Below are 12450 nucleotides of genomic sequence, written 5' to 3' on the forward strand. Positions count from 1 at the left end.
GGGCAGTTACTGGATTTCCAGTAAAGAGGATAAAGACCTAAGGGGAATAAAGACAGAAGACAAAGGGCAGGGAGGCAAGCAGAAAAATAAATTTGCTGCTGATTCCATGAAAAGACTCAATATGCCAGGGTTTAGTTAGGAACTCTGTGTTCTGAGCAGAACACAAAGTTAGTCAGAGTTAGTTCTAAGACTAACTCTAATCTTTCTCTCAAAATTTTAAGCAGTACTCAGACTTGGTGACCACAAGTAGCCTTGAGGGGCAGGGGTGGGGAAGATCCAGGAAGGCAGTTATTTCCACAAGGCCCTGGTGTCAGCTAGTTTGTTCATTTTGGTCATGTACTGTTCCTGCCCTTACCTCTCCTAAGAGCATTAAAACAACAAAACCACCTCAATTCATTAGTACTAAGTCACTCCTCATTCATTACTATCCCTTGTCCACAGAAATAGGACAAGCCAGCTGGTTTGGATGTGAGCCCTAGGGTTTGGAAAAGATAATAGCTGGAGCTCCTTGGGCAAAATTGAGTCACTACAAGATGAAAAAAGAATAGGTGATGGAAGACAGACCTTGAGAGAAGAAGGAAAACCTAGGAATCTCATGCCAAGAAACATTATCACTGCAGATAACTGTCCTGTAATCTACTCTTGTCTGGCCCATTCCTCCCCCACCTCAGAGGAAAAGAGGCATTCCCTTCTTTCTAGAGTTGTGCATTAAACTTGTCAAGGTCAATAAATGTAGCAAACTAGAGCATTTACCCATGTTGGAGGGGAAGACGAACTTCTTCTGGGGTAGCAATACGTCTCCTCATGACATCACCTTGGGAGGAAGGGATACCCAAGTTAAGAGTTCAAGCAAAATATTTAAACAATAGGCCAATAGGGAAAGGCTAACTACAACATGGGACAGAAAAGTTTCTTGGAACCAGACAGGGATAGAATAGAATCTGGATACTCACCACTACCAGAAGCAGTGAGTCCTTCTCCAGTGATCTCTTCCACGTCAGCAGTGGTTTCTAGAAAGCTGCTGACATCCTTATTTGCTGGGGAGGCTGTTGGAAAGGCAGCTGCTGGGGAAGTTACGGGAGAGGCTTTTGGGGATGTCACTGAAGCCGTCAACGGGACTTCTAAGGAGACTGCTGGGAGGACTGCTGAGGAAGCTGGAGAGACCACTGAGAAGACTGCTGGAGAGACAACTGTAGAAGCTGCGGGACAAACTTCTGGAGAGATTTCTGGGGAGGCTGCTGGAGAAACCACTAGGGAGACTGCTGGGGAGGTTGTTGGCGAGACTGCTGGTGAGGTTGCTGGATGTAGCTGAATAGTGGATGACTGATCAGGAGCTGGCTGGGTCAGGGATGGTGGGAAGTCTGAAGATTGAGTTTCCATTTCTTCCTGTTCAGCGTCACTACCATTATTCAGGTCAAAGCTGTTATCTAGAATCCAAAGGGACAGGATAGGCTTTAAAAAAAAAAAAGGCATCACATAAAACAAGAGAATCTACTCAGTCAACCCTGGACCAAGCTAAACAGGGTTACTTCAAGGGGTCTTCCCTAGGGTTGGAAAAAGAAGTAGCTTTTTCTCCCAACCAATCATGAGGATTAAAGGGTAAAGTTGCTACAGATGTCATTGTGTGAAGAAATACCTTTTACCTGGTGCCAATAAAGCTTCTAGCCTCCTTCTCCCTACAAATTCCAAGTCTCACAAGTTCTTCAAAGCAGAGGGCACAGGTCGGAGTATAGCAGCCTATACCTCTTTTAGTTCCACCATACACTATCCCATAGCCCCTCAGCTCCCAGCAAGGTGCTCTTGCTTTCCTACTTTTTTTTTGAGATGGAGTCTTGCTCTGTTGCCCAGGTTGGAGTGCAACGACACAATCTCGGCTCACTGCAACCTCTGCCTCCTGGGGCCAAGCGATTCTCCTGCCTCAGCCTCCCAGGTAGCTGGGATTACAGGCATGTGCCAACACACCTGGCTAATTTTTGTATTTTTAGTAGAGGCGGGGTTTCACCATGTTGGCCAGGTGGTCTCAAACTCCTGATCTCAGGTGATCCACCCGCCTCGGCCTCCCGAAGTGCTGAGATTACAGGCGTGAGCCACTGCGCCCAGCCAGATTTCCCACTCTTAAGGCCCTAACTATGAAACTTATTCTCTCATCTTTTCTCAGGTAAAGGTCTTTCTTTGTCCTACCTACCGTCACTTACCTTGCAGGACAGACTCCCCTAGGACAGGTGGAGAGGTGGGACTGGCAAAGATAGAGGTTGATGTTTGACTATCATCTGCCAGGAGACTGAAGGCAGTAGCATTATTGAGGGAAGGGCAATCAAGGGCAGAAATCACAGGGCTGTCCTCAAGAGGCAGCTTGTCCTCTGCACCCATCAGCTCCGTGTCATCAATACCATATAGTCCTCCACTCACTGGCTCTGTTTACAAGGGTAGAAAAATCAGAGCAGGATAATGAGAAAAAAATCAGAAAGCAAGATTTAAGAAACACTGGTCAGAAAACATCCAATTCTAGTTCCCACAATGTGAAGATTCTTCCTAATATTAAGTTAGGTAACAAGTAAAGCCTTCTCCCTGAAAGAGTAGTCATGAGATTATAGGGATCATAAAAGTTTGAGGGGAGGCCGAGGCAGAAGAATTGCTTGAGGCCAGAGTTCAAGACCAGCCTGGACAACATAGCAAGACCTCATCTCTACAAGGTGAAAATGAAAGGAAAGGCATTGGTGGTATTATCTACCCAGAGACCTATGCAAAATTCTAGGATTTATCATAAAATATGTCTTTCTTGTACTTCAGTGGAGTAAAAGGTAACTGCTCACTGACAAATGTTTTCTTCCTAGTTTGTCAGAACCCAGAAAGATCAACTGTGTGATAATAAGTCCCTACCCAGTGAATTATTACAGCCCAGAGCTCTTGGCCAAAAGGAATACTGGGAAAGAACCTGGGACATGAACCAATTCAGCTCAGAATTCAGTTAGGGCACCAAGTCCTGTGGCATGTAACTGTGGTCTGCCTTAGGCCTACCTGGAAGCCCCAGTGCCCCTGATTGCCTAATACTTTTCCCATTTTACTGTCTCTTTCAGGTAAAGTTTGGCTACTCTGCATGGATAAGTTAAAGGGACATAGCCTCCAAACCTACCTGGTGCCAGAGAGTTGAAGGGCTCCAGAGAGTCTTCACTGAGGATTGGAGTGTCTTCCAGTTGATCAGGAAGATGTGAAGGATCATCTAAACAGCTCACTGTGGGGTCAGGGACCAGGACTGAGACCTCTTGGTGTAACGATTCCACAGAAGGGACAGAGCCATTGTAGCCACACATCTTCAGTTCTAGGAAATCACAGGAGAGACCAAAAGTCAAAATCAGTGCCTTATATTGGTTCACTTAGCTATACTAGGCAGTCAATCTTTGCTAGAAGGATGTTCATTCATTCAACATTTATTGCGGCCAGTTCATTGCTGGGAACCGATCACATCAAGATACTCTGAGCAGAGATGTGCTGGTAAAATCAATCCTACAGCAGGCAAAGAGAGGAAAAGAGAGTGGGGTCTGATACAACATCTCTATCATGTTCTCAGATATCTCCTCCATCCATTGGGAAACGAGAAAACATCCTGTAATTTTACAGAGTGGTGGTTACCCTTGTACCAGGAATCAACTGGAAGCTAAGCTTTTATCTATTTTGAGGGAAAAGATGAGAGGGGCTGTCACGTGTACTAATGCTAAACAACAAAAAAAAGGAAACTGAGTAGACAAATAATGATATGCTCTGCCTGCTTCCTTCCCTCCTTCGCATGCCAATCACTACATTGGGCTCAGACGACTTTAACAGCCAGTCTGATCCTGCCACAGTCAGTTAAAACAGCCTCAATGCCCGCTGCTAGACCCTAACCACTCCGTATATTTTGAAAGAAGCCTTTCTTGATGCAGGGTGTCTGTTGGGGCTGTTTCGGGCTCGCCCACCTGCCCTCTCCAGGCCAGAAGCTCTGCATGAGCTTGAAATAATTTGCACTCCCACTCGCGAGCTGGTGCTGCTGCCACAAAAACACCAGCCACTTGGCTCTGCTAATTGCTAATCACCAACATGCAAATCAGCCTCCACTGCAGAGAGCTGGAAAGACAAGTTTTTCTCACCTCAAAAAGCCACTATCCCCCCCGAGCTCCATTTTTCCTTTCCCCACCCAGTTCACCAACCCAGTTATACCTGGCTGCTCTTCTTCCAGCTCCAAGCTGCCTACCAAGCCAGTGCCATTCTCTGCCACAACTGAAGTCATCTCCTTTTCTGCTGCCTCATCAGGATGGATACCACTGCCTACCTCCTGGGAGGGTGCAAAGGTTTGAATGCTAGATCCCAACATAGGAGAAGTCTGTGGGGAGGTGAAAAAACTAGGGGGTCCATTGGGCATCACCTCAAAATTCTGGTCAGGAAAGGAATCATACAGTTCTTGTGAATCAAAGTTAAGCCCCATGGGACTCTGGGTACCGTTGGCCCAGAACTCTTGGCTCCCAGCCCGAAGGTTAGTGTTATGACTTGGGGATGAAGGTTGCCGGCTGCCCCCAAGGATGCCGTTGAGTGGGTATTGTCCCCCCGAGAACTGGGAGAGAAGGGGTGGGTCCTTGAGGTTGCTGCCAGGATTGGCAGATGGGTACTGTGAGTAGTTCCAGAGACAGTCGTAGGCCACGCTGGGGTGATGGAGGTGTGAGGTGCTGGAGGAGTGGGGAGCAGAGTTCAAAATCCCTGAAGTAGTAGTGTGAGATACAGTAGATAAGCCATTAACATTCACATCCCCATTCAAACCTGGCAGAGAAAGAAAGAAAAGGTCAGTTACAGATATGTAGGCAAGCAACTTTACCAAAACAAACTCAAAGTAATAGCACTGACTAGAAAAAGACATGGTAAAGGGAAGGGGGATTCCTCCCCTGCTATATTTAGTTTTTGGGTCTCTGGAGAACACCAAGCCCAGAGGCTCCTGGATGTAGGTTTAGCAACTGCTGCTGAGGCTGAGTAGGGGGCTAGAGAGCTCTCCAGGCCTACCATGAGAGCCACCAGCAGAGCTGGTTGCTGCTGCTTACTGCTGGCTTTTTTTTGGTTTATTTTTTGTTTGTTTGTTTTGAGACGGAATCTCGCTATGTCACCAGGCTGGAGTGCAGTGGTGCAATCTCGACCCACGGCAACCTCTGCCTCCCTGGTTCAAGTGATTCTCCTGCCTCAGCCTCCCGAGTAGCTGGGACCACAGGCGCCCATCACCACGCCCGGCTAATTTTTGTATTTTCAGTAGAGACGGGGTTTTACCGTGTTGGCCAGGATGGTCTCATCTCTTGACCTCGTGATCCACCTGCCTCGGCCTCCCAAAGTGCTGGGATTACAGGCGTGAGCCACCACGCCTGGCCTTTTTTTTTGTTTTTAATTAAATGAAACTGTTTGCAGACTCCCTACAGTGACTTGCATTCTGCCCTACTCTCATTCCCTAGGGGATTTCTTCCCTTGGAGGGGCATGACTGAATTCGCTAGGGGCCCCCTTTCCCCAGTGCCTATTTGGCCCCACAGTGGTACCAAAAGGAACAACCTCCACCTCACTGGCACATGCAGATCCAGCACTTTGTGCTGGGCTAAGAATAGAATTTGCAGTCACCACAGCGACAAGAACCCAGCTCAGAAGGCTGGGCTTGGCCCTTCCCTATAGGCATTGGAAGGTAATATGCCAGCTGGCGGGGTAGGGGGGGCACTTTGTGTGCTGTAGAATTCAGCTCTCATCATCAATGGCAACCTCTGGGATGGAGGACAATCAATCAAAAAGAACCAAGATATTAAGGAAGCTTGAGGGTAGGGTGGAATCCAATGAAATAAAGGAGCTTCTACCATCTGCAACCCTCTTCGAGAGGATCGGAGGGAGAAGTAGCAGGATTTTTCTGCTACAAGAAAGGAGGGAAGCATGTGGGCTTCTCTCTGCTTCCAAGTATAAAGGACTTGAAACCCAAGCAAGATTACAGAGGTACCTGGCGAGTCATGGTACAGAGCAACTGGTAAGCCAAATCCAGGAAAAGACCCAATCCTGGCAGCAACACCTCCATATGGAATTATGAACTTCTCTCTGGGGGAACTAGGTAAGCATTAAACTTTCCCTTGTCCCTACCTTCCATCCAAGGACAGAAGGTGGAATAAGTACTTCTAGCATCTGCCTTTCTCTGATGTACAAACTAAAAGGCAATAAATACACTGCAACCTTCATTCAACTCTCAGTCCTGGCCCAGTGTAGCTTCCCTAACCTCTAAAAACAGCTTCTTAGAAGGCTAGCACTTTATCTCTCTCATGGGTTATCAGCAGCAGTAGCCACTTCACTGCTCTGTCAGCAGCCAGGGGAACAGGGCTGACAGAAGAACAGGCTAAGATGAAAAAGCCAGTGGGTTTTTCTAATCTCTTCCAACCTTAAATCAATACAAAAAATGTTTCCAAAAAACCCTAGAACTTGTTCTTAGAAGTTGATTTCTCTCCAGCAGCAAAGTAGAGCAAAATATCCCCCCATGAATCTGCCCTAAAGGGATGATGCCCATTCCCTCCCCAGGCCAAGCAGCCCTCACACTCACTTTTCCCTTGCTGGGGGAAGTTCATGGGAGACCCGTTAGTGTAGAGGCCCTCCCCTGAGGAAGGAGAGGGTTTCAGTCCTGAGGCAGCAGGTGCAGGGGGAAGGCCAGTAAAGTTAAAATGGTCGTTTGCCTCCATTTCTGCAGGAGGGGAGAGAGAGGGAAAAAAAATACTGGCGGTTAAACAAGGTTATGTCACCTGGAATCTTCCAGGGGCAATGACCCCTCCCCTCCACCTACTTACCCTTCTCCTACCTAAGTACTGTGTGAGGGAAGGTACAGAATAAGAAAAGAGAAGGAGAAAATATGCCTCTAGCCTGAGCAATGAACCTATGAAAACAGTCTTTTAAAGCCAGCTTTGTAGATTAAAAAACAAAGCAAGTTAGCGAGAAAAACCAAGATACAAACCTGGAGGAGTCTTCCCTCTGTGTAAGCCCCACTCAGCCCAGGTTACCCTTCTATATTAGATATTAGCCTCTACTGTACCACTTAACATTCTCCATCCTTTTGTTTTTATCCCCAAGGTAAAGTCTCCCTCCCAGGCCCACAAAAGGTTCTCAAAGCCATCTTTTTGACAGAAAAGCATATTTGATAAACACTCTTTGTTTCATTATTAAACTTGAGCTAAACATAATTTCTAATTATCCTATCCATAGCCCTAGATATCTCAAGATAGTAGTTACATTAGTAAAGGGATTTGAAAAGGAGAATACATTTCAGGAAGGTGATCATAATGGCAAACCTCGAATCATCCAGCAATACTTCTACTCTTTATGCTCCCCAAGAACACAGGTCAGAAAAATGTCAGCAGTGGAAAATTGATTAAATATGAGGGTATCCCAAAAAATATTATTCTGTTATGTCTATTATGGTTATTTCCTAATGTTTTAGTTTTGTGGCTTAAATATAAAGAAACGGTCACAGGGAAAATAAAATAGCAAGATACTTATATTTGTAAAGTGCAATGGCTCATTGAGGTATGGCTAAAAAGTTTTTCACCCTTTCTGAATACTACTAAGAATGATAAGAAGCCCTTGATCAGAATGAATTTAACTTTGACAGAGGAAAGGAAAGAAAGCAAGCAGAAGCCAGAATTATTGGTAAACTCTAACATATCAATCGGATTCTTGTGACATCCTAGTGCATACCAACTTGATATGTGAGAAACATAATCTGTCTTGATACAGAAAAAGCAACTCCTTGAATTATGTTACTACATTTTAAAAAAGAGAAGAATTCAGGCCAGGTACGGTGGCTCACCTGAGGTCAGGAGTTCGAGACCAGCCTGACCAACATGGTAATACCCTGTCTCTACTAAAAATACAAAAATTAGCTGGGTGTGGTGGCAGGCACCTGTAATCCCAGCTACTCAGGAGGCTAAGGAAGGAGAATCGCTTGAACCCGCAAGGCAGAGGTTGCAGTGAGCTGAAATTGCGCCATTGCACTCCAGCCTGGGCGACAAGAGTGAAACTCCATCTCAAAAAAAAAAGAATGAATACACTGGTTAAGTACATATATGATGAGGCCTGGCATAGTGGTTCACACCTATAATCCCAATACTTTGGAAGCCAAAGCAGGAGGACTATTTGAGGCTAAGAGTTTAAGACCAAGCTGGATAACATGGCGAGAACCGATCTCTACAAAACATTTTAAAAGTAGCAGGGTGTGAAGGCCAGGCACGGTGGCTCACACCTGAAATCCCAGCACTTTGGGAGGCCGAGGCTGGCGGATCACCTGAGGTCAGGAGTTCAAGACCAGCCTGGCCAACATGGTGAAACCCTACCTCTACTAAAAAATACAAAAATTAGCTGGGCGTGGTGGCAGGCACCTGTAATCCCAGCTGCTCGGGAGGCTGAGGCAGGAGAATTGCTTGGACCTGGGAGACGGAGGTTGCAGTGAGCGGAGATCATGCCATTGCACTCCAGCCTGGGGGACAAGAGCGAGACTTCATCTCAAAAAAAAAAAAAGGAGCAGGGTGTGGTGGGGCACACCTGTGGTCCTAGCTTACTCGAGAGGCTAAGGCAGAAGGATCACTTGAGCCCAGGAGGTCGAGGCTGCAGTGAACCATGATCATGCCACTGCACTCCAGCCTAGGTGACAGAGCATGACCCTGTCTCAAAAAAAAAAAAAAAAAAGAAAAGAAAAGAATATATATGCCCACTGGCCAAAGTCTGCAAGAGTTACATTCATAAATATGCTACATTACTAAAATTAGACACCATTAGTATAAATGTGAATATAACATAAGTCTGAGCATGATATATAAACCCTGCATAGTATGTGGGAATTGTCTGTATCTTAATCAATTTTAACTGAAATTTTAAAAATAAAAATAGGCCAAGCATGGTGGCTCATGCCTGTAATCCTAGTGCTCCAGGAGGCTGAAGCAGGAAGATCACTTGAGGTCAGGAGATCAAGACCAGCTTGGGAAACATAGCAAGGCTCTGTCTCCACAAAAAATAAAAAAGTTAGCTGAGCATGGTGGTTCCTGCCTGTAGTCTCAGTTGCTCAGGAGGATGAGGCAGGAAGATTACTTGAGCCCAAAAGTGCAAGTCCAGCCTATGCACCATAGCAAGACCCCATCTCTAAAAACTAAAAGCAATGTGCATTTGTTGATTTAAGGGAAAAAGTTTTTAGGACTTACTTATCTCCCATATAGGATATCTCATCTTTAGTCTAAATAGGGGTGTCCAATCTTTTGGCTTCCCTGGACCACACTGGAAGAAGTGTCTTGGGCCACACATAAAATACACTAATGAGAGCTGATGAGCTTTAAAAAAAAAAAAAAAATCACAAGAAAATCTCCATGTTATCTTTTAAGAAAGTTTACAAATTGGTATTGGGCCAGATTCAAAGTTGTCCTGGGTGGGCTGGACAAGCTTGCTCTAAATTAAGTAGCAGACCTAAACCTGCCATGCATCAGTGAAAAAATGGAGTCTTTATAGTGAAAAGACCCCAGGTTAGCCAGGCATGATGGTGAGCAGCTGCAGTCCCAGCCACTTGGGAGGCTGAGGCAGGAGGATTGTTTGAGCCTGGGAAGCAGAGATTGCAGTGAGCCAAGATCATGCCACTGCATTCCAGCCTGGGTGACAGAGCGAAACCCTGTCTCAAAAAAACAAAACAAAACAAAACAAACAAACAAACAAAACACACAGGGTCCTCCAGGATTTCCTTTTTTTTTTTTTGAGACAGAGTTTCCCTCTTGTTGCCCATGCTGGGGTGCAAGGGTGTGATCTCGGCTCACTGCAACCTCCACCTCCCAGGTTCAAGCGATTCTCCTGCCTCAGCCTCCCCAGCAGCTGGGATTACAGGCACCCGCCAACACGCCCAGATAATTTTTTATCTTTTTAGTAGAGACGGGGTTACACCATGTTGGCCAGGCTGGTCTTGAATTCCTGACCTCAAGTGATCGACCCACCGCGGCCTCCCAATGTGCTGGGATTACAGCCATGAGCCACTGCGCCCAGTCAGGATTTCCCTAGTATAGTTAACAGCTACTCCTCAGCAGTAGGGGGTCTGAAAGATAAGCATCATGAGATTAATAATCCTTCTTAAGTGCAAGAATTAAAGGAAAGTTCATTCCTTAGTCTCCAGTTAGGTTCCTTCCAAAGCTTATACCACAGAGCAAGGAGGACACTCTTCACTTCAGAAGTCCTGGAAATACTATGCCTAGAGGGCCAATTTCATCTGATCCTCACCTCTCCTCTCCCCAGTTTTTTGTACACCTCCCCTGGTGTGGAGGATACATGCAACTTCCATCCTATGTGCAGTGGACTATATCCTCCTCAATGATGGGTCACGGTTCATTTTTCCATTCTCTATTTGAATCCAAGAACAAAGTTGTGACCTCCTCTCTGCTGCTCTGGAAAAGCACAGCATATCCTGTTTTTGTAAATATTAATAACAACATGTCGATGGCTCACAGAAATCAGAGAATTAAAAAGAATGGGAAGTTATTTAGTATGTGAGATCAGTTTCTCCACCTGTCTCTTCTGAACTGTCATCAGAACCACAACCACTTCATTTACGAGAAGCTTCCTAGACACATAAAATTGTCTTTGTGCTATGCAATGTGGTCAGCACAATGTAGTGGGCTCTAGGTTCAAATCCCAACTCTACTATTTACTAGCTAGCTGTTTAACCTTGGACAAGTTACTTATACTTGCTGGGCCTAAGTTTCATCATCTGTAACAATTTTTGTACCCACTTTTAAGGACTGGTGAGGATGAAATGAGAAAATCTAAATTAGAGCCCCAGCACAGTGTCTGTCATCCAGCAAGCACTCCATAAACGTTAGTTTTTTTTTTTTCTTCTTGAGACAGAGTCTCACTCTGTCATCCAGAGTGGTGTGCAGTGGCATGATCATAGCTCACTGCAGCCTGGAACTCCTGGGCTCCAGTAATCCTCCTGCCTCAGCTTCCCAAGTAGCTAGGACTACAGGTGCTCACCACCACACCTGGCTAATTTTTAAATTTTTTTGTAGACACAGGGTCTCGCTATGTTGCCCATGATGGTCTCAAATTCCTGGCCTCAAGCAATTCTCCCACCTTGACCTCCCAAAGTGCTGGGATTACAGGCGTGAGCCACCTTACCAGGACTACATTAGCTACTATTATTAGACAAACAGTAAAAGACTGTGTAGTTTTCAAAAAGATAATCAGGCCTGGCCAGGCGCAGTGGTTCACGCCTGTAATCCCAGCACTTTGGGAGGCCAAGGTGGGTGGATCACCTGAAGTCAAGAGTTCGAAACCAGCCTGGCCAACATGGCGAAACCCCATCTCTATTAAAATTACAAAAAATTAGCTGGGCGTGGTGGCGGGCACCTGTAATCCCAGCTACTCAGGAGGCTGAGGCAGGAGAATTGCTTGAATCCAGGAGATGGAGGTTGCAGTGAGCTGAGATCGCACCATTGCACTCTAGCCTGGGTGACAGAGCAACACTCTATCTCCAAAAAAAAAAGATAATCAGGTCTAAACGGTCTACATATAAAATAAATATAATTTAAAACTAGGGATGATCCAGCCAGACTTCCTTATATACAATTTGACTCCTGATTTCAGATGTCACTTAAATATGGGAATTAATTATGTCACAGTATGGGAATACGAAAAACATGTGAACACCTCCTCTCAACAATGAACCTAGGTTTATTTCATTTTAACCTTCCTACTCAAGATGCTTTTCACAATAAACCCTAAAGGTAAACTCTGTCCTCCCATCCAGAGCTAGTAAGAACAGTAAAGCAAAGGAGAGCATCTCCCTTTGAACTAATAGGATTTTCACCAAATGAGAAAAGAAATCAGCCAGTGCCCAACCCCTAGAGTAGCAGATGACTCTCATACCAGGAAGTACATTCATTCAAGCACCCAGCCCAGTCCCAGCTATACATAAATGGATCTTTTAAGAGCTCCTATGTTTCATTTATAAGAGTAAGGGACATTGCCCTATAAGCTTGAAGCAATAAAGCCCTCCCCACAGGGCCGAATAGGTTGCTTTTCTCCCAGTTCCAATCAAAGAGCTGCTACTCTGTGGGCCTGTGACATGGTTTAATAGAAAAAGGCTGACAACACCAAGAGCAGTGGCTCGTGTAATCCCAGCACTTTGGGAGGCCGAGGTGAGCGGATCACGAGGTCAAGAGATCGAGACCATCCTGGCTAACACGGTGAAACCCTGTCTCTACTAAAAATAGAAAAAATTAGCCAGGCGTGGTGGCGGGCACCTGTAGTCCTACCTACTCGGGAGGCTGAGGCAGGAGAATGGCGTGAACCCGGGAGGTGGAGGTTGCAGTGAGCCGAGATCGCGTCACTGCACTCCAGTCTGGGCGACAGAGCGAGACTCCATCTCAAAAAAAAAAAAGAAAAAGGCTGACAATGCACAA

The 12450-nt window shown here is 45.7% G+C and overlaps 1 protein-coding gene across 38 annotated transcripts in view; it reads right to left on the reverse strand.

Moving 5' to 3' along the window:
- BAZ2A (bromodomain adjacent to zinc finger domain 2A) overlaps positions 1-12450 on the reverse strand; it is a 42723-nt gene that overhangs the window by 15224 nt on the left and 15049 nt on the right. For 18 of the 38 annotated variants that reach the window (NM_013449.4, NM_001300905.2, XM_047428142.1 and 15 more), the window contains 6 exons: positions 6576-6713; positions 4195-4788; positions 3134-3319; positions 2196-2414; positions 954-1427; positions 754-814 (listed from right to left, as the gene is read on the reverse strand). In NM_013449.4, coding sequence (NP_038477.2) covers positions 754-814; positions 954-1427; positions 2196-2414; positions 3134-3319; positions 4195-4788; positions 6576-6713 — 1672 coding nt within the window. Of the gene's footprint in view, positions 1-753; positions 815-953; positions 1428-2195; positions 2415-3133; positions 3320-4194; positions 4789-6575; positions 6714-10270; positions 10435-12450 lie in introns of those variants that run through there. The other 20 variants (NM_001351156.2, XM_047428155.1, XM_047428151.1 and 17 more) reach the window with 4 other exon arrangements.

Source organism: Homo sapiens, chromosome 12 (assembly GCF_000001405.40).
Source record: "Homo sapiens chromosome 12, GRCh38.p14 Primary Assembly".
Classification (NCBI taxonomy): domain Eukaryota; kingdom Metazoa; phylum Chordata; class Mammalia; order Primates; family Hominidae; genus Homo; species Homo sapiens.